The sequence below is a fragment of the Homo sapiens genome, chromosome 1 (assembly GCF_000001405.40).
Source record: "Homo sapiens chromosome 1, GRCh38.p14 Primary Assembly".
NCBI classification, from domain to species: Eukaryota; Metazoa; Chordata; class Mammalia; order Primates; family Hominidae; genus Homo; species Homo sapiens.
In genome coordinates this window covers 225,255,795-225,278,361 of record NC_000001.11, presented here as the reverse complement: position 1 = coordinate 225,278,361, position 22,567 = coordinate 225,255,795, and the positions used below count along the sequence as shown (strand labels likewise).

Here is a 22,567-nt window from a genome sequence, read left to right as displayed (position 1 = left end):
CTTCTTGATGAATTGAATGTGACAAGTGATGAAAAAGTGACAAAACTGAGTGACTCCCAGGTTTCTGACTAGACCAGTGGATATATGGTGATACCATTTATGAGTTAGGTTAGTAAAAGAATAGTTTTGGTGTTAGAAAGATTTGCTTCATATTTTTTTCTTGATTCTATTTTCCAGTTTTTAGTTCCTTTTAATTAATCTTGTTGCATATGTCTGTTTAAATAAAACTTGTGTTTTATTTAAACACAAGTTTAAATAAGTGTTTAAATAAAGCTCTAGCTGTTCTGAATAAAAAAAATTCTTTTTGAGAAAAGTGCACAAATTAACCAAACAGTTATAAATAAAGTATAAAATAAACAACTAGTCATAAATAATAAATTAAATAAAAATAATTAATATGCTTTATGTAATTGGCTAAATATGTTGAATTTTAGCTAATTTTCCAAAAGATTTTCTCTATTCAAAGTATATTGGGGAATTTTCCAAGATTTTAACTCCCGCTTGTTCTCATGAGAAGCAAAACATTGTGCAAAAGCTCACATTTCTAAATCAATAATCAAGTAAGCGCACTATTTTTGAAGTCAGGATCCATCTGCACAGCTACTGTATTAATGCTGCGAACACTAGAAATGGTGCAGTTTTATTCACATCAAGTGCCTTCCAAAAACAAATACCATTTTTATTTGCTGACAGATTTCATATGCAAACTGCAGAGAGGACAAGAGTCCTGCCCTATGACTCAGTTATTGTGATTTTTCACAAAGTGTGGCTAAATAAAACTTCTGTAAGTACAGTAGATTTTATTGGGATTTATTTTATTTTGTAAACTTAAAACCACTTGAAAAATTTAAATTCCTACCAGTAACATGTGACTCCCTGGTTGTCGAAGAACCCTTGTTGCTCTTATGATGTGTTCTATGGCTTCCTTGAAGAACACCATGGAATGAGAAAGCTAGCAGATCAAATGTGACAAATAAATGGATTATAGGTACAGAAAAATCAAACGTGCATTGTGGTTTTACATACAATTTACTTACAGAAAGGAGAATAACTAGTAATCCAGAGCTCTAGATCTAGTAAGCTGGTTATCATTAACATTTAGGGAAAGTAAATTTGTGCAATAAGGATTGTCCCTATGCTAATGTTCTTGTGAGTAGATTAGAAGGGTGGTGGTAGAATTGAGAGAAGAGAATGAAGAGGCAAACAATAGTATTTAGGCTCCCTTCCCCCTTCCCCGTCCCCCTCCCCCCCTCCCCCTTTCCCCCTCCCCCCTTGCCATTTCCCCCTTCTCTTCCTTCTTTCCTTTCCTTTCCTTCCCTTCCTTTCCCCTTCCTCCCTCCCTCCCTCCCTCCCTCCCTCCCTTCCTTCCTCCCTCCCTTCCTTCCTTCCTTCCTTCCTTCCTTCCTTCCTTCCTTCCTTTTTCTTCTTCTTATTTTTCTTTTAGACAGGGTCTTGCTCTGTTATCCAGGCTGGAGTGCAGTTTCACAATCACGGCTCACTGCAGCCTCGACCTCCTGGGCTCAAGCAATCCTCTTGCCTCAGCCCTGTGTAGCTGGGACTTACAAGCAGGCACTGGCACCACAATGCCTGATTAATTAAATTTTTGTGTGTGTGCATGTGTGTGTGTGTGGAGATAGGGTTTCATTATGTTGACCAGACTGGTCTCAAACTCCTGGGCTCAAGTGATCCTCCTGCCTCAGCCTCCCAAAGGGCTAGGATTATAGGCACAAGCCACCACACCTGGCCCAGGTTGCTTTTCTATTGTTCTGTCTTGGCAAGTAGGATAAGTGGTAGGAGAAAGAGATGCAGAAAATTGGTTTACAGTGTATGTGGTTTTGTTGGTGTCTCTGTTCCAACACATCTTTGCCCACAACAATGGGAAAGATGTAAAGAGCCACAACCACTTTGCTGTCCTTTGTTGCTACTTTGGACCCTGTTGCTACACTCTGTTTTGCATTTATCTTCATGAACTCTATTCATTCAACTTCCTATAACCTCAGTTGTGTACCTTGTCTTTAAAATTATACCCTATCAAATGAGACAAATAAGATGAAATAACATAAAACTGTACTTCTAATGTTCTGCTTTAAAATATGAAGGTAAGCATTTTCCCCTGATCTCTCCCTCTCTCTCTCTTTTTCTCTCTTGCTCTCTCTCACACACAAACACACACACCCCTTAAAAATACTGATTTGATATACATAGATGTTTGTATGTAAAAATAAATAAATATATACATATATAGCACTCCTCAGATTTTTATATAGTATATATGTTTACCTCCAAAGAAATTGAACCCAACTTCATTTGGAATTCATCAAGTACACTGGCAAGTTTATTATAGTCACTGGTATTCTGATAAATCTTTTTTCTATGAGTCTTGTTTATATCCAAGAAGTCCAAAAATACAGTTGAGTGATTCATCAGGTTTTCTTGGGTCCACTGAATCTATTGTAAGATAAGAATTTAACACTATCCATTAATAGCACAATTCTACTTGTTATCAAAACTCACAGCATATATCTGTGTTGGAGAAGCTCCTGGCACAGTGGATCTAGGACTAATGTGTTCTTAACTTTTTTTGTGCTATAAACTCCTCTTGGTTTATAAAGGTTTAGAAAGCCTGTGGACTCTTTCTCAAAATAATATTTTAAAATGCATATATCAAAATATAAGGGTTACCAAAAACCCCCAAATATATTAGAATATGGTTTTATTTAAGAACGCTTTGAGGGTCTGTGGATCCCAGGTTAAGAACTCCTGTTGCTAGAAATATCTTGTAGTTCCAGCAACAGTCTGAGAAAAAGAATCTTCCCTTAGTTTACCACTACAGTTCTGCAAGTTTCCACATGTCCTTTCCTGGTTTACTTGGCAAATTCTTGCTTATCTTTCACACCAAGGTCATGGGCTACCTCTTATTTGAAGTCTGACCATCTCCCTCTCCCCTAAAATCAGGTAGAATAAATTACTCCTTCCTCCTTTGTTCCACCACTATATTGTGTGCATAGGTCTGTCACAGCACTGACGTTATAGCACTGACAGAAATGCATTGCACTTCTTAGGTTGTAATGTGCTTGGAGGCAGGGTCCATACTAGTCCTAGGTAGTCCTCAGCACTTATCCCACTTGCTGTCTGGCACTGGGAATTCCTGATAGGCATTTAGAAGATGTTTGTTTCGCAAATGGCTAAATGAAGATTGAGGGGTGGTATGGTATGATAATTCGAAAATATATGTCATTAGATATCCTAGGTTTGAATAATGACTCCACCACTTAACTAGCAGGGTGACCTTAGGTGAGATCTTAATCTTACTCTGCTCGGTTTCTTCATCTGTAAAATCAGGATAATAACAGGACCTATATCATAGGGTGTTATGAATTAAGATTAAAGTGAATAATGATATGTAAAGTGAGTAATGATATGTCTTAACACTGTGCTTGGCACATTGTATTAACTATTAGAGTTTTATTTTTTTTAAGTCAATCAACTGACCGATTAAGTGATATTGTATAAACTGAAATTCTCACAGGAATAATTTAAATCCTTACATCCTTAAGAAAGATTTGGTCCATATGGTCTTGAATTTGGGGTACTGTAGTTGCCTTTGCTGTCCATAGGACTGACCCCTGCTAGGGCAGGACCCAATTCCGTAAGTATTTGCTTGCTCATTTTCTACTGCCTCTATATCTATTTCTTAGTCTGGTTAAGTCTCAAAACTGAATTATGGTTGGCATTTATAGGGAGTTTGGGAACTTCTCCCAAGATAGTAATAAGCTCTCTTTAAGAAATGCAAATCAAAACCACAATTAGATACCATCTAACACCAGTCAGAATGGCTAATACTAAAAAGTCAAAAAATAACAGATGCGGCCGGGCGCGGTGGCTCACGCCTGTAATCCCAGCACTTTGGGAGGCCGAGGCGGGCGGATCACGAGGTCAGGAGATCGAGACCACGGTGAAACCCCGTCTCTACTAAAAATACAAAAAAAATTAGCCGGGCGCAGTGGCGGGCGCCTGTAGTCCCAGCTACTCGGGAGGCTGAGGCAGGAGAATGGCGTGAACCCGGAAGGCGGAGCTTGCAGTGAGCAGAGATCGCGCCACAGCACTCCCGCCTGGGCGACAGAACGAGACTCCGTCTCAAAAAAAAAAAAAAAAAAAAAAAAATAACAGATGCTGGTGAGGATGCAGAGAAAAAGGAACACTTACACACTGTTGGTGGGAACTTAAATTAGTTCAACTGTTGTGGAAGACAGTGTGGTGATTCCTCAAAGTTCTAGAAACAGAACTACCATTTGACCCAGCAATCCCATTAGTGGGTATATATCCAAAGGAATATAAATCGTTTTATCATAAAGACACACTCGCACACATGTTCATATTTCCTGGGCTTCTGTTAATGAGAAGAATGAAGTTGGCACCACCAGAGAAGACAGAAAAAGAAAAGAGTCCACCTTTGGGAAGGAAATGTTCTCCTTAATTCTCTTGAAAGGAGACGGCAAAAAATTCTAGTAATGGAGCCTAGATCACTGCTCCATTCAGTCACATTCTTTTAGTGTGATCAGTTTATTGAAACACTTTCCTTTGTGACCTAGATTAAAAGACAGGCAGTAAGAAAACTAAAGTTCAAAGAGACGGAGAAGGATGAGGAGTCTTGTTGAGGTATCAAGACAGTGGACAGTTCTGTGAGTCCTGGAGAAAAATGAACAGTTTTGAGGTTGCTAAGGGGCCAAAAGCATGGGCAAAGGCATCAATGATGATTTTATCCTCTCCAGCATATCTATAGTTTTAGACATTTTCAAGTGGAAATGGAATTGTTAATAAAATTACATTTCTTTCAGTATTATATAAATTTTTGAGGACTTTCATGAAACAACATTTTTTGCCCAATAATCCACTTAAAACAATTTTGTTTTGTTTTGTTTTGAGACGGAGTCTCGCTCTGTCGCCCAGGCTGGACTGCACTGGTGCGATCTCGGCTCATCGGCTCACTGCAAGCTCCGCCTCCCGGGTTCACGCCATTCTCCGCCTCAGCCTCCCGAGTAGCTGGGACTACAGGCGCCCATCACCACGCCCGGCTAATTTTTTTGTATTTTTAGTAGACACGGGGTTTCACGTGTTAGCCAGGATGGTCTCAATCTCCTGACCTCGTGATCTGCCCGCTTCGGCCTCCCAAAGTGCTGGGATTACAGGCGTAAGCCACCACACCCGGCCAATAATTTTTAAAATATAAATTTACCTGAAAACAGTTCTCAAGTTCCCTTGAAAGCAACCGATAGAAAAGGCTTTTATCAGTGAAATCAATTAAGCGATCGTGAAATACTCGGGTGGCTTCATGAACAAAGAGCAGAGCAGCCATCTCTTTGGAGTTAACAACAGTCCTGTCAGCTTGCAGCAATCCTAGGAGAAGCTGTTAGGGATTTAAAAATAACGTTTTTTTAAAAAAAATTAGCAGGGTAGTATGTGAAGCGAAGGCTCAATTTTTGCAGGTTTATGATCCATAAAAATAGAAGCAATTATCCAAGGTAAGAATTGTGAATTTCTACAAGTGATAATCTGAAGCTTTGATGAGATGGGAAAGTGATAAGATAGGGAAAATTGGTATGGAATCACTCTTAGAGGGAGGGGGACTTGGGGACTCCTCAGCCACATCTAATGGAGGCCTTGCTAGGATGGGAGTCTCGACTACAGTGCTAACATGGAGGCAGGGTGTTGCACGTGATACTGAGGTACTTCCTAATGTTTATATGTTTTAACATTCTAAATTTGGATTAAAAATGTTATAGCCCATTTCACAGATTACATGTGCTATTTAGGGCTAAAGTCCCACAGTTAGGGGAGAAAGGTATCAAATTCAAGAATTGATTTTCTTAACATTTCAATTTTGAAAATTATTTGGCCATGGCTGATAACTAAGTCAGCACTGTTGGCAAAATCTGTTAAAATTCAAGCATGTTTATGAAATGCATACATGCTTTCATTTTCTGACAGCCACAATAAAATCTCAGAAATAAAGCAAACACCAAATCTATGTTATAACCTTGTCACTTATTTCTCTGCTGAGGATCTTAGCCAATATTCTAACACTCTTAGGGATTTCATCATTGAATTATTTGCACGGAATTATTTTAACAATTTTTTCTTCAACTAACTCATGAGATAAGCTGCTAATAGCAAAACTAACCAACATTCATTTCCCTTTTTTCCCCTTCTAACAATCTAATGTTGACAGTATGAGAGAGAGCAACTTATATTTAAAAAATAAACTAGAGAATGAACATTAAAACAAACCTTAAACATATCTCGAAGATTAAACATGTAGTGACATTTTGTTGGAGTTGGTAACATATTCTGACGTACTTGATGGTATATAGCTAGGGAACAAGATATTATCTGATCCTTACTTTTCTGAACTTCAGGTGTGAAGTTATTGATGGAGAAATAAATTCCCAAATGAGCCTTTAAAAAGAAATGTTATAATTTAGCTTGCCAAAAATTTGAGGTATAGACTACTTCTGGCTACCTTCCACTAAAAAGCGGACTTGTGTACTATAATGGAGGATTAATTTCATTAAATGTTAAAATTAAAATCCATTTAACATAGGATGGTAGATTAGTAAAAACAAAACACTCTAGGGGTTGCAAACTGGAGAAAATTCCACTTGGTGCTAGTCTCTTGAATGGTCTAAAAGGATGTGATACATTTTTTCTGGGGACAATTTATGCTTCACCTCTGTATATACCAGGTGTGCTGGGAATTCTTTCATCTCCTTGCTCTCCAGGAGATGTTATGGGAAGTGTAAACTGACAAAACTATTACCTCAGTCTGGACTGACGATACAGGTATACATTCTTCGAAAAATTCTGAAGTATCTTACTGGAAAGATGACTCAACTTGAAATCTAGTGTGACTAGAAAAATAAATCTTAAGCAAGATTAGGAAATTCATCAACATGAATCTTGTTTTCTTCTTTAATATAAAATTTAAAGATTCATTTTTAAACTCAAGTTTTCAAAAAGCACTTGGTAATTCTGATACAGTTGGTAAATAGTTCGCACCTGAAAAAAAATCCTGTTTTAGAAGAAAGTCTACCTGTATGCCAACTGGGACCAAGGTAATAGTTTGTGTAGCATTTTTTTATTCCATAAGAAAATGAAAAGAGCAAATCAATTCTGGCAAAAATCAGGGTATGTGTGTTAAAAATGCAGATTCCTACATGCCAGGCCAGATATACTGGATCAGAATCTCTGAGGATAAAGTCCTAAAATCTACATTTTAACGTGCATTGGACATGCACCACAAGTGTTTATTTTACACACAATAACTTATGCTTTTGATATGTAGAACCAAATTATAATAGGCCAGAAAACATACGGGGAAATAAAATCTATCCCCTTAAAGTAATTTTCTTTCAATATTAGTGGATTTAAGTTCTCGTATTTTTCCTTATTCTAGGGAATTAATTTTTTTCAGTAGAAAATGAACTAGATGTGTTACCTGGAAAATAGTACATAAGATGTCTTGTGAAGGATGAGGTAATACCAGCATGGAAAAGTGTTTGAGAAGACGTGGGCTGATATCATTCACAACTGGAACACAAGCTGCAACTATAGACAGATCTTGAATATTCTGTGATAAGGATAAAAAGGAAGAGTAACTGAATGTATCTGTAGGAAGTGAAGTATGTACCTACGTCTCTGTCCCAAATTGGACAAAACATTTAAAAACATTTAGACAAAAAGATTTAATTACTATTTATTGCAAAAACAAAGATTACAGTGGTAATAGAAATCTATCTTAGAAATAACCCATCCTAAAATATAATTTCAAGATACATTATTTCTTGAAGGCTTTCTAAATGTCATCAGGAAATGGTCCTGTTTTTTAAAATTATTATACTTTAAATTCTAGGGTACATGTGCACAATGTGCAGGTTTGTTATATATGTATACATATGCCATGTTGGTGTGCTGCACCCATTAACTCGTCATTTACATTAGGTATATCTCCTAATGCTATCCCTCCCCCCTCCCCCCACCCCACAACAGGCCCCGGTGTGTGAGGTTCCCCATTCTGTGTCCAAGTGTTCTCATTGTTCAGTTCCCACCTATGAGTGAGAACATGCGGTGTTTGGTTTTCTGTCCTTGCGATAGTTTGCTCAGAATGATGGTTTCCAGCTTCATCCATATCCCTACAAAGGACATGAGCTCATCCTTTTTTATGGCTGCATAGTATTCCATGGTGTATATGTGCCATATTTTCTTAATCCAGTCTATCATTGATGGACATTTGGGTTGGTTCCAAGTCTTTGCTATTGTGAATAGTGCTGCAATAAACATACGTGTGCATGTGTCTTTATAGCAGCATGATTTATAATCCTTTGAGTATATACCCAGTAATGGGATGGCTGAGTCAAATGGTATTTCTAGTTCTAGATCCTTGAGGAATCACCACACTGTCTTCCACAATGGCTGAACTAGTTTACGTCCCACCAACAGTGTAAAAATGTTCCTATTTGTCCACATCCTCTCCAGCACCTGTTGTTTCCTGACTTTTTAATGATCGCCATTCTAACTGGTGTGAGATGGTATCTCCTTGCGGTTTGCATTTCTCTGATGGCCAGTGATGATGAGCATTTTTTCATGTGTCTTTGGCTGCATAAATGTCTTCTTTTGTGAAGTGTCTGTTCATATCCTTTGCCCACTTTTTGATGGAGTTGTTTGATTTTTTCTTGTAAATTTGTTTGAGTTCTTTGTAGATTCTGGATATTAGCCCTTTGTCAGATGGGCAGATTGTAAAAATTTCCTCCCATTCTGTAGGTTGCCTGTTCACTCTGATGGTAGTTTCTTTTGCTGTGCAGAAGCTCTTTCGTTTAATTAGATCCCATTTGTCAATTTTGGCTTTTGTTGCCATTGCTTTTGGTGTTTTAGACATGAAGTCCTTGGCCATGCCTATGTCCTGAATGGTATTGCCTAGGTTTTCTTCTAGGGTTTTTATGGTTTTAGGTCTAACATTTAAGTCTTTAATCCATCTTGAATTAATTTTTATATAAGGTGTAAGGAAGGGATCCAGTTTCAGCTTTCTACATATGGCTAGCCAGTTTTCCCAGCACCATTTATTAAATAGGGAATCCTTACCCCATTTCTTGTTTTTGTCAGGTTTGTCAAAGATCAGATGGTTGTAGACGTGTGGCATTATTTCTGAGGGCTCTGTTCTGTTCCATTGGTCTATATCTCTGTTGTGGTACCAGCACGATGCTGTTTTGGTTACGGTAGCCTTGTAGTATAGTTTGAAGTCAGGTAGCGTGATGCCTCCAGCTTTGTTCTTTTGGCTTAGGATTGTCTTGGCAATGCAGGCTCTTTTTTGGTTCCATATGAATTTTAAAGTAGTTTTTTCCAATTCTGTGAAGAAAGTCATTGGTAGCTTGATGGGGATGGCATTGAATCTATAAGTTACCTTGGGCAGTATGACCATTTTCACAATATTGATTCTTCCTATCCATGAGCATGGAATGTTCTTCCATTTGTTTGTGTCCTCTTTTATTTCGTTGAGCAGTGGTTTGTAGTTCTCCTTGAAGAGGTCCTTCACATCCCTTGTAAGTTGGATTCCTAGGTATTTTATTCTCTTTGAAGCAATTGTGAATGGGAGTTCACTCATGATTTGGCTCTCTGTTTGTCTGTTATTGGTGTATAGGAATGTTTGTGATTTTTGCACAGTGATTTTGTATCCTGAGACTTTGCTGAAGTTGCTTATCAGCTTAAGGAGATTTTGGGCTGAGACGATGGGGTTTTCTAAATATACAATCATGCATCTGCAAACAAGGACAATTTGACTTCTGCTTTTCCTAATTTAATACGCTTTATTTACTTCTCTTGCCTGATTGCCCTGGCCAGAACTTCCAAAACTATGTTGAATAGGAGTGGTTAGAGAGGGCATCCCTGTCTTGTGCCAGTTTTCAAAGGGAATGCTTCCAGTTTTTGCCCATTCAGTATGATATTGGCTGTGAGTTTGTCATAAATAGCTCTTATTATTTTGAGATATGTCCCAGCAATACCTAATTTATTGAGAGTGTTTAGCATGAAGGGTTGTTGAATTTTGTCAAAGGCCTTTTCTGTATCTATTGAGATAATCATGTGGTTTTTGTCTTTGGCTCTGTTTATATGATGGATTACGTTTATTGATTTAAAAACAAAACGAAACAAAAAGAGCAATCATTAAAAAATAAGCAATATGTTATTGAGGTTAGCAAAGAGGCTTCTGGTTATAAGTGAGAAATCAGAAGAGCCAATTGAGTGTGTCTCTAGAATGGCCAGCCTTTGTTCCTGCTTATACCCAGGCTCAAGGCCACAGCAATCCCATAAAAGACCTACTGTGACCTATTTTCTGGTCAGTTCAGGGAATTGTCCAGGCTGGGCATTCCAGACCCTATTTCCTGCCTTCTCTTTTTTCTAGTCTCCTGGATTATCCCTGGTGGGCCATACCTGGATTCTTCCCCTCTGCCTTGGCTTGAGGGTTGTTTCAGTCTGACTGACGTCTGACCTGATAGCGCTCACATGCCAGTTTGCCTTATTCAGGATCCTGGGCCCAAGTTTGTCTGAGACATGAAACCATTTGTAATGCAACCACTTAATTTTATAGATGAGGAATCTGAGGCCTAGAAAGTTTAAGTGGCAGTCAGTTCTGAAATATAGGGCTTATGATTTCCAGAGAAGGACCTGAACAGAGAGAAAAGTGCATTTGAATTTCTATATTTGTTTAAAAAGTAAGCCATTCTGGCCGGGCATGGTGGCTCACGCCTGTAATCCCAGCACTTTGGGAGGCCGAGGCAGGCGGATCACGAGGTCAGATCGAGACCATCCTGGCTAACATGGTGAAACCCTGTTTCTACTAAAAATACAAAAAACTAGCTGGGCGTGGTGGTGGGCGCCTGTAGTCCCAGCTACTAGGGAGGCTGAGGCAGGAGAATGGTGTGAACCTGGGAGGCGGAGTTTGCAGTGAGCCGTGATTGTGCCACTGCACTCCAGCTTGGTGACAGAGCGAGATTCCATCTCAAAAAAAAAAAAAAAAAAAAGGAAGCCATTCTGATTTAGGTTCAATGTAACAAAAATAATTGCACAGAAATACCACCTTGGGAATTTTTTTTGACTGTGATATTCCTTAAAATGCTGTATCTGTGATCTTAAGATAAAGATGTAGAGTAATCTTATATAGACATTAAGGATGCATCTGGTGGGCCATATTTTCACTGGCTTTTCTCACAACTAACTAAAATTTGATGCATGGAAAAGTTTGATTAACTACTGATGCAGTTAACAATAATGAGCATTATTTGACTCAGAAACCAAATCTTGAGGACATACATGCAATTTTTACTAAGATTTAAACCTATTAAAAGTAGGATTTCTATAAACCTATGGACCTACATTGCAAATATATGATTAATATAGTTAGTTTAGGGTCTCAACTTTGCTTAACATGTCCATATGGCCAGAATTTCTAACTTTCTCAAGCAATTCACTCAACATTGTTATAAACATTTAATTTAGTGTGAGAAATAATACTTAATGTGAACAAAATCTTAGTATATACTGTACCTTCCATGTATTTTTTTCAGTATCATAAACTCCTCCCAAATCTAACAATTGTCTTATCAATTCCAGGGGTGGCTGTGCTCCATACATATCTGATACTGGCATATTCATATCATCAATAAATATTAGAATCTTAAGAAAGACAAAAGGTTTTAAACATATATATTAGTACACCTTTCTTTAAATTATGAATTAGGAATATTATGGTTGGGGTAAGCACAAATTAGGAATATTATGCTATGGAGTAAGCACAAAATCATATGTAATAACATGTCTGATTTCCTATTTAAAAACAGCAGAATGAATTCTATTTGGAAGATATGATTTTTAAAAACAGTAAGTTTTCAAAATAGCAGACACTCTATTCACCTTCTATAGATCTATAATAATTATGTCTGACAATAGTTAGAAATGTATTTGATGCTGGATAAAGCAATATATTTATGGCTATTACACAGGAACATGGCTATTTTTCATTCAAGATTTACTTACTGAGTGCCTACTATTGGCAAGGCACTATTGTAGTATTTAGCTGTTTATTCCATATGCACCCTGGTTTAGGAATAAGGCTATCATCTGGAACTAGACTTAAAAAATTCTGCTGCAAATGCTGTTGTTATGAACAACAAGCAGAAAATTCAGACACATTTCCAAATTTTAAACCTGTGTTAATGTCCACCTTTGAAAATATTGTGCATTGAAGTGTACTGATTGTAATCTCTGTGTGCACTAGCTCCTTTAGACTGTATTTATTTTTGCAAAAGAAGCAACGTAAAAAACCCACAAATAGACATATGTTTGGAATTATGTAATTACCTAATTTGTAACTGTCAATATATATATATATATTTATTAAGACACTCAGTTTCTCCCCTTTTGTATCACAAACTATCTGAAATTTCTCTTGCTTGCATTTTCTATTGGTATGATTAGGTTCCTCAGTTATTCACCTTTTCAAAATCCCTAAAGTTTACCTATGTAGGCAAAGACCAAGTTTATCTGTGTCTTCATTTAAAATCAAGGAAATCTGAAGCAAACCCTTAAAAGCTCCTGAAATTGAATTGAAACTCTTAGAGTCCCAAGCCATGGTCACAGGAAGAAAGTGTGGTAGAATATACAGTAACAAAACAGTTGGCATCTAACCCATTTTCCAGTCTACTTCTCTTTAGCAAGATTTCAGTAGCTTCTTTTGGCCTTAATAATTCTGAATCAGTATAATTCAACATATTGGAAATAAAATAATATTGATCTGAAAATCAAAGTTTCTGTTATACATTGCATCTTCTATGATGTTCAAAAATGTGTGTTACACAAATATTTTTCTTCTGATTAGTATTAATTAAAATAAACTATCACTTGACTAGCCTAAGCAGATTATTGAACAGGTATGAGAGGTGTTTTACCCGGTTGTTTTTTGGTGCTCCAAGAGTATCTTTAGTTCTTCTTATTAACTTCTTAAGAATCATCTCCTTGGTTTTGGCAGCTGTTACATTGGTGCTAAAATTTATTGTAGAGACTACAACTCCTTTATGATCATTATTTTTAAGTAACTTTTTATTAGTTCTAACTTCTGGCTTTTTAGTGGGATTATCTGTGATGCCAAACATAGAAAGAAAAAACAAATTTAGGACACTTTAAGAACATTTTTGCCTTATTTTAATGTGTCATGAAATTTGAAAATTACATAATTTTACTATTTTGTTGTCATTTTCAAGAAATTACTCCGATAGAACTTTGGAATATTTCTTTGCTATTTTATGGTAAACAGCATCTCTGCAACCAAGTGCAACAGTACAAAAGCTCAAAGAGTCCTCCATACATTTATGCACGACAGACACATATAACTTTTTAAGATCTAAAAGCAGCATGCAGCTGTCTGCACTAATGGCATTAAAATTAGGGTATATTCCCTGAGTGAGGATCATCCAGAGGCTATAGCTACAGCAACTTAAAAGTGAAAACAAAACCAAAACCTCTTCTGGCAAGATTTGGTGGTGTGGCATCCTTCCCCTTTCTACAGCTATCTCTAGGCCATTCCATCTTTTCCTCTTGAGAAACGGAGTTGCTGTTCCCAAAACTAGAGAGTCAGAATTTTCAAGGATGAGGCTCCTGAAACTCCACATATGTTTCTATTGCATGGCCTGATTTGAGAAGTCCTACAGAATCATACCTTTTCTATTGCAGTATGTCTAAAAGCATCAAACAGTAGAATAGACAGATATTGCCTTTAGTTACTTCTAGACTTAGTCTACTCTTCCACTGATATATCCACCAAGTATCAGGTAATATACCTATTATATCAGCAGATGTAATACTCCTCTACCAGAACCATTCTAACTTTTGAGTAGGACAGAACAGTTTGAGAGGGTGTGGGATAGTTTTTGAGACTTTTTATATTAAATTACCAATTGAAATTATTATTCTGAGATCCATGAATGTAAGAAATAATATACACATGGTTGTGAAGTTTTGAAACATAGCATAGCTTTGAAACTGTACTATAATATATACCTGAACTTCCAGTTGCTGTCTTATGAGTTTCAGGAATCAAGATGGTGATATTCTGTTTTAGGCTACTGGAATGAAATATTTTAAGGATTCAAAATTAGTTTGTTTACCATAATAGGTATATTAAACAACAACAAAAAAGTAACAGCATATTGTGAATTTTACTTCTAACTCTTACAAGAAAAATTTTTTTTCTGTTTCCACCTTTTCAGATGAAATTAGTGTCACCATAAGAACTTATACCAAACTGAACAAAACATAAGCTAACTTTATAAAACAAACTGGGCAAATTCCCAGGATGCCAGACAGTTAGATATTTTCTCTGGATAGTAAGCCATTACCTTACTTATCCCTTTATAAAATGTGATTTGCCTTACGGATCACTCAGCAAAGACCCATTCATCTTATTTTGGTCTTGTTTCTAGGTGTTTGTTTTTCTCATGTTTGATAGAAAATAGTTGTCTTTCTCTATTGTTAAAACTCACTTCAGCTTAAATATTGAGTATACAGTAAAACTTACTTTTTTCCAGTCTCCATTATTTATGATACTTAGATAAAGAATGATTTTCATTGTATTAAATATTTCAAAATTATTTCTCAGATGTTTAAGGCCTTATTTAAGTGTAGTAGGATTCTATTCCAAAATCATTAGTGTAAGACATAGATGATGGTGGCTTGGACTAAAAGAGGCATTGGAAAAGAAGCAGAGGAAATCAAGATATATGTGAAGATAGAACAGACATGACTAGTAGAATATTAGATGTAGTGCAGGGCAAAAATGGGGACCTAGGGATTGGGAGGAATCAGATGGGCTATAAGAGATAGATTGGTGAGAGGAAAGGGGGAAATTCAAAGATGATTCCTAGGTCTCAGGCTTGAATAACTGCGTCCCGTTTATTGAGATAAGAAGCACTAGAGGAAGGATAGGTTTGGAAGAGAAATCAAGAGTTATGTTTTGGTTATGTTAAGATTGAAATGTTTATAAGATATCCAAGTATTATATATATACATGTATATATATGTGTATATATATGTATATATACATGTATATATATGTGTGTGTATATATATATCTCGCATAGTAGGATATATGTGTCTAATGATTAGAGGAAAAGTCTGATATGTGCATTTCCACAATTCCATCTTCTTATGTAATTCAAACAATACTAGGCTTCTCTAATATTTTAACAGGCTTGGGAACTTAAAACATTTTTAGTTTTATTTGCATAAGGTAGATTTATTGTTTGTTCTTTTTTTTTTCTTCAGGAAGAAACATATAGAATGACAGAGACAAAGTTATTTGTCAAGAGCATTTTAACATTTGATGACCATACTGCCCAAGCAATCTACAGATTTAATGCAATTCTTATAAAAAATATCAATGTCATTTTTCACAGGGTTAAAAAAATACTAAAATTTATACGGAATCAAAGACAGACTGAAGAGCCAAAGCAATCCTAAGCAAAAAGAACAAACTTAGAGGCATCACATTACCCAACTTCAGATTATAATACAAGGCTATAGTAATCAAAACAGGATGGTACTGGTATAAAAGTAGACACATAGATCAAAGGAACAAAACAGAGAACCCAGAAATAAAGCCAAATACTTACAACCAACTGATCTTCGACAAATCAGACAAAAACATACACTGGGGAAATACACTCTATTCAAAAATGGTGCTGGGAAAATTGGATAGCCACATCATATAGAAGAATGAAACTGGATTCTTATCTCTTACTGTGTGCAAAAATGATCTCAAGATGGATTAAAGACTTAAATGTAAGACCTGAAACCATAAGAATTCTAGAAAAAAACCTAAGAAAAACTCTTCTGGACATTGGCCTAGGCAAAGAATTTATGATTAAGACACCAAAGGCAAATGCAACAAAAACTGAAATAAATAAATGGAACCTAATTAAACTAAGAAGCTTCTGCACAGCAAAAGAAATAATAAACAGAGTACACAGACAACCTACAGAATGGGAGAAAATATTTGCAAACTATGCATCTGACAAAGGACTAATATCCAGAATCTACAAGAAACTCAAACAAATTAGCAAGAAAAAAAAAACCCATTAAAAGGCAGGCAAATGACATGAACAGCCACTTCTCAAAAGAAGAATAGAGTATTTTTACATTTGATAATAAGGACATATATTTCTAAGCCAACAAAAACCAATATTATGGAAAGCTTTATTTGTATGTTTTAGGTGCATTTTTCCTGAAGGAAAATAGTTTATAGCTGCCCTTTATATAAAAAAAATCGACTTAAAATTTGGTTATTTTAAAAATAAATGTAAGAATTTCTCATTTAGACAAGATTGGGCACTTTCAGGGTGGTATGGCCATGGGTAGAATTTCTCATTTAAATAAATGAATCTAGTTGTTAATACTTTTGAAAAGTAAATATTTTCTTCTAAATAGAAAATAGGAATGGCCAATCATAGTAAAGAAATTGAATCAGTAATAAAGTGACCCATCAAAGAAAAGCCCAGAATTGGATGGTTTATGCTGAATTCTACCAATTATTTAAAGGGGAACTAATACCACTCCTTCTCCAACTCTTCCAAAACATTGAAGTGGAGGGAATACTGCCAAACTAATTTCACAAGGCCAGCATTATCCTAATACCAAAGCCAGAAAAGAACATTACAAGAACAGACAATTACAGACCAATATCCCTGATGAACATAGATGCAAAAATCCTCAAAAGACTAATAAAACCAAATTCAATAGTATATTAAAAGGATTATTCACCATGATCAAGTGGGGATTTATCCCTAAGATAATTTCATGTATGATTCAACATGCACAAATCAATAAATGTGATATCCCATATTAACAGAATGAAAGACAAAAACTATAAGGTCATCTTAATAAATACAGACGAAGCATTTGACAAAATTGAATACCTTTTCATAAAAAATTCTCAACAACTTAGGTATAGAAGGAATGTACTTCAACACAATAAAGGGCCAAGTCTGATACATCACAGCTAACATCATACTCAGTGGTCAAAAGCTGAAAGCTATTCCTCTGTGATCAGGAACCAGACAAGGATACCCACTCTCACTACTTCTTTTCAACATAGAACTGGAAGTCCTAGCCAGAGCAATTAGGCAAGGAAAGAAATAAAAGGCATACAAATAGGAAAAGAAGAGGTGAAATTGTCCGCTTGCTGATTACATGATCTTATTAATAGAGACCCTAAAGATGCCACCAAAAAACTGTTAGAACTGATCAATGAATGCAATAAAGTTGCAAGATATACAAACTCAACATACAAAAATGTCACATTTCTATAAGCCAACAATGAACTACCTGAAAAAGAAAGAAAACAATTCCATTTACAATACTGTTAAAAAAGACCATTAAAAGAGTACTTAAGGGTAAATATAACAAGAAGGTGAAAATTCTGTATATTGAAAACTATAAAACATTGATGAAATAAATTTAAGAAAACACAAATAAGTGGAAAGATATCTTGTGTTCATGGATTGAAAGAATTAATATTGTTAAAATATCTATACTACCCAAAGTGAGCTACAGATTCAATGCAATCTCTACCAAAATTCCAACATCATTTTTCATTTTGCCAGTGGAACCACAAAAGATCCCGAATAGCCAAAGCAATCTTGAGGGGGGGAAAAAAAAAAGCTTGTGGCATCACCCTACCTGATTTCAAAATATACTACAAAGCTATAGTAATCAAAACAACATGGCATTAGCATAATAACCAACATATAGACCAATGAAACAGGATAAAGGGCCCAGAAATAAACCCACACATTTACAATCAATTGCTTTGGCTATTCTGCACTCCTGTGTTCATTGCAGCATTATTCACAACAGACAAGATATAGGCTCACCCTAAGTGTTCAATGGCTGAATGGATTTTTTTTTTTTTTTTGAGATGGAGTCTTGCTCTGTTGCCCAGGCTGGAGTACAATGGCGCAATCTTGGCTCACTGCAACCTCCACCTCCTGAGTTCAAGCGACTCTCCTGCCTCAGTCTTCCGAGTAGCTGGGATTACAGGCACCTGCCACCACATCCAGCTAATCTTTTGTATTTTTAGTGGAGACAGGGTTTCACCATGTTGGTCAGGCTGGTCTCAAACTCCTGACCTCAGGTGATCCACCTGCCTCTGCCTCCTAAAGTGCTGGGATTACAGGCGTGAAACACTGCACCCAGCCTGAATGGATTTTTAAAATGTGGTGTCTGTGTGTGTGTGTATATATATATAATGGAATACTATTTAGTCTTTTAAAGGAAGGCAATCTTGTCATTTAAATGGATTTTTTAAATGTGCATATATACACAGATTCCATTATATATACAATGAAGTACTATTCAGTCTCTAAAAAGAAGGAAATTCTGTCATTTGTAACAACATGGATGAACCTGGAGGACATTATGCTAGTGAAATAAGCCAGGCACAGAAAGACAAATACTATATAATCTCACTTACATGTGGATTCTAAACAAGTCTAACTCATAGAAGCAGAAAGTAGACTAGTGGTTGCCAGGGGCAACAGGTAAGGTGGGAAGGAATGGGGAGATGTTGGTCAAAGGGTACAAAGTTTCAGTTAGATAAGCAGAATAAGAATTCGACATCTATTGCACAGCATGGTGACCACAGTTAATAATGTGTTGTATATTTCAAAATTCCTAAAAAATAGATTTTAATTGTTCTCACTAAAAAATCATAAGTATGTGAGGTAATGGTATGTGAATTACATGATATAATCATTCCTCAATATGTATATACATCAAAGCATCACATTGTACACCATAAATATAATTATCATTTGTCAATTAAAAATAAAAGTTTAAATGGAAAAAATAAAAGAGAAATCAGGAAAAAAAGGATTTTCTTCTTATCTCCTCTTTTGAATGATTCTGCATTTTTACATAACAGATTTGCTTTTTTTAAAAACAGGCATATTTATATATTAAAGCACACTTTTTAAAATCAGACAAATCAAATTTAGAAGTTAGTATATACAACCTTGATTTTTTTATTTCACTATATAATAGGGTGTCTCCTAAAATTGAACCATGTTTTATGTCAAATGCTCCTGGACCCTCTAGCTTTTCAAGCATTTGATTAATGGCAGCAGTTTTCCCAACACCAGATTCTCCTAAGGGAAAAAATACACAAGGTTAGATGTATATGCAAGAAAATGATACATGTTAACACATTAAAATGAACCAATAACATTCTCCCTCAATTGAAAATTGCATAAAAAGTGTTTTTTTGTTCTTCCCTTTTAAAAAAATGTGGTTAAGAGTGGTTAAATGAGGAAGTTAATATAAAACCCTCTCAAATTGTTTGAATTATTTACACCTCTTACAAAAGAATAGATTAAGAGTTAACTATTATTTTTATCTAATGTTCATGCTAATCCTTTAGCACAGAACTACAACATGAAACATAATTCCTTAAAAATTTCTGCCAACCCAATTTGAGGAAGAAATTTGATGATAAACTTTTTGTTCAATCAGAGTAGGGACTCTGTAATGATTTTACAATTCATTAAGTATTAAAGTAAAGATAAGTATTTTCTTAGACAAAATTAGAGGCAAGGTATGTGTTATCTGAGAGTTACATTGCCTTAATTCTCTGCATATGGAACTGGGAAAATGATACTATTGCCTCTGGTGCTATGCAACACAAGTTAGATAATTGGAAAAGGTAACTGATGGGTTGAAATACGCATTAAAAGAGAGTAGGAGCTGTATTGAATTACTATTTTGATAATGGTAAAAGATAGAAAAATCTTAATATTGGATTGGGGAATCCCATTGAATGTGTACATGTAAGTAAACCAATCAATGTTACCAATAAGAACCTCAGCCCACAGGCTACAGAGGCCAAACATATATTATTAATATAATAGCTCTACTTCTGGAATTTCTCCTGCAGGTAATGAAAAGATGAAAAAGATTTATAATGTCCTATTTTGGCAAATATGTGGAAAAATGGGTGTTCATAAACTGCTGGTAAGAAAATAAATTAATATAGTAACCAAAACTTTTCAGTGTATATTTTTTTCCCACTTACAAAATAAGATAGTTAGACCAAATATCTGTAAATCTTTTTCTAACTCTGAAATTCTCCTTCTATTAAATATTTGTAATACCTGTGAGAAGTACAGGGCAGGAATTCTTTAAAAGAAGGCTCATGAGAAAAGAAAGGCATGTTGTGTCTCTGGTAGCGGTATAATTAATGCATTCTCCACATTCTGTTATCTTCAAGAAGTTTCCGCCAGATCTTTGAAGATTAGTTAGTAATGAAGTTCCTAAGTTAACATTTTAAAAAAAGTTTCAAATGACCTAGAAAGTACTATTCACCTCATCTTTTTTTTTTTTTTGTCATTAGGATTATTTTATTTTCATTAATTGTATATATGAAAAGTACATGGCTGGCTGGGCACGGTGGCTCACGCCTGTAATCCCAGCACTTTGGGAGGCCAAGGCTGGCAGATCAGGAGTTCAGGAGATCGAGACCATCCTGGCTAACGCGGTGAAACCCCATCTCTACTAAAAATACAAAAAATTAGCCGGGTGTGGTGGCAGACGCCTGCAGTCCCAGCTACTCGGGAGGCTGAGGCAGAAGAATGGCCTGAACCCAGGAGGCGGAGCTTGCAGTGAGCCGAGATTGCGCCACTGCACTCCAGCCTGGGCGACAGAGACTCCGTCTCAAAAAAAAAAAAGAAAGAAAAAAAAGAAAAGAAAAGTACATGGCTATGCAGAAATAAAATATGTTAAGATTTGTTTCAGGAAAATGTAATCATGTCACAATATAGTCAATCATAAAAGTTATTAGTTCATTACTCTTAAAAGTCTTCCTATTCCTGAGAAAACTCCATTGATTATGTCCAGGAGTTCCTAAATGTCGCATGTATTGGAGAAGCAATCATTTCCACTAAATTAAAGTCATTCTGCAAGTCACTTTCATCATCACTTTCATTACCACAGAGGACACTAGAGGCACTTTTAGCTGCTCAACAGAAATTCATGCATTTCCACATTATAGCAGTTCTCCAGTGGTGGATGCCCTAACCCCGGAGAGGTCAAAGCAGTGATGCAGTCTATGGTGGACTGGATGTATTCACCTAACTTTTAGGTCCTCAATACATAATAATTTCTGGAAAAGTCTGCACATTACAAAACAATTTAAACATACATAAATAAGCCAAAATTGTTACAAGTGCCTGGGGGTCTCTGCTGATCTCAGAAATTATCCCTCACTCACACTCTTTCTGACTTTGATGTGGACAGTTAGTGCTATCAATTTTCCTCTTAAAATGCTTTAGTTGTGTGCCAGAGATTCTGTCTTTATCTGTTTTTTTTTTAAAATAGCAAATGGGCTCCTGGTCTTTTACTTTGATTTGTAAAGTCCCTTTATATATTAAGCAAATTAGCTCTTGTAATCTGCTTGGTGTTTTATGTAAGTACTCTGATTATTATATTTGACTGAGCTAATCTGTCCTCATTATTTCCTGGCTACTCTTACTCTCTTACTTGTTTAACATTTCTGTATGGAATTTGGAATCAGCTTCTATAGTCCTCACCACACCTATAATGTGGTATGTTTATTGGAATTATCTTTACTTCATGGATTAATTTAGGAAGAATTAACCCATTTAGGATGATAGCTTTTCTCCAAGAACATGGCATGCTTTTTTATTTCTATGTCTCAAGAATGTTTCCAAGTTTTCTTCATATTGATTTTTGCATATTTCTCGTTAAACTTAGTTTTCTGTATTTCATCTTTTTAAAAATTTTGCTTTTGCCATTTTATTTTATTTTATTTATTTATTTTCTTACCCAATCCTGCCGCAGTTGACCCCAAATCCATCCCACAGAAGCAAAGCCAATCTTGCAATGTTTACTTCCGGTTTTCTACCCTACTCCAGCCGCCACTGTGGTAACTTCTGGATGACCAACACGTGCGCACTAATTCTCTCTGTTTTTGCCACTTTAAATAAGATCTTTTCTTTTATTATTTACCTTGTAACTGGTTGTTGTTTGTATATGTGTGGAAGATTATTTTTACACATTGTTTTGTAATTAGACTAAAACTAAATTCTCTTATTGCTTATAGTAGTTTTAAGTTGATCCTTTGGTTTTCCAGATATTTTATTATAACTTCTGCAAATAATTAAAATTTAATCACTTATTTTCCAAATTTCTATCTCTAATTCCTCTTTTTAATTGCATTGGCTCGTATACACAAAACAGCATTGAGTTAAAAATTGGATTTTAATGGTAATGCTTCAAGTATTTCCCCTTAAGTAGACTCTGTTGTTATTCTTATTGAACTTTTACTTCCGTTGTATTTTTCATTTCTAGAAGGTCTACTTGGTTCTTTTTCAAATTGTGTCAGCTTTTAATAGTTTCTCTTGCATTTCAGGTATTTTCTATCTTTCTTTTTATTTCTTTATAAATGGTAAGCATGGCT

The 22,567-nt window shown here is 35.7% G+C and overlaps 1 protein-coding gene across 26 annotated transcripts in view, besides 1 other annotated feature; it reads right to left on the bottom strand.

Annotated features, from left to right (window-relative positions):
* The window catches only part of DNAH14 (dynein axonemal heavy chain 14), a 469,633-nt gene that overhangs the window by 120,925 nt on the left and 326,141 nt on the right, over window positions 1-22,567 (bottom strand). For 22 of the 26 annotated variants that reach the window (XM_011544062.3, XM_011544067.3, XM_017000296.2 and 19 more), the window contains 10 exons: window positions 20,244-20,402; window positions 19,109-19,241; window positions 14,101-14,165; window positions 12,993-13,180; window positions 11,593-11,721; window positions 7,496-7,627; window positions 6,289-6,456; window positions 5,237-5,407; window positions 2,281-2,448; window positions 860-952 (listed from right to left, as the gene is read on the bottom strand). In XM_011544062.3, coding sequence (XP_011542364.1) covers window positions 860-952; window positions 2,281-2,448; window positions 5,237-5,407; window positions 6,289-6,456; window positions 7,496-7,627; window positions 11,593-11,721; window positions 12,993-13,180; window positions 14,101-14,165; window positions 19,109-19,241; window positions 20,244-20,402 — 1,406 coding nt within the window. The remainder of the gene's footprint in view (window positions 1-859; window positions 953-2,280; window positions 2,449-5,236; window positions 5,408-6,288; window positions 6,457-7,495; window positions 7,628-11,592; window positions 11,722-12,992; window positions 13,181-14,100; window positions 14,166-19,108; window positions 19,242-20,243; window positions 20,403-22,567) is intronic. The other 4 variants (XM_011544058.3, XM_006711735.4, XM_011544064.3 and 1 more) reach the window with 4 other exon arrangements.
* Window positions 4,569-4,769: a silencer, noted in NCBI's record as "peak726 fragment used in MPRA reporter construct". NCBI's record gives its function as "represses an SCP1 promoter by STARR-seq MPRAs in K562 erythroleukemia cells {active_cell/tissue: K562}" and the evidence as "EXISTENCE:reporter gene assay evidence [ECO:0000049][PMID:32103011]".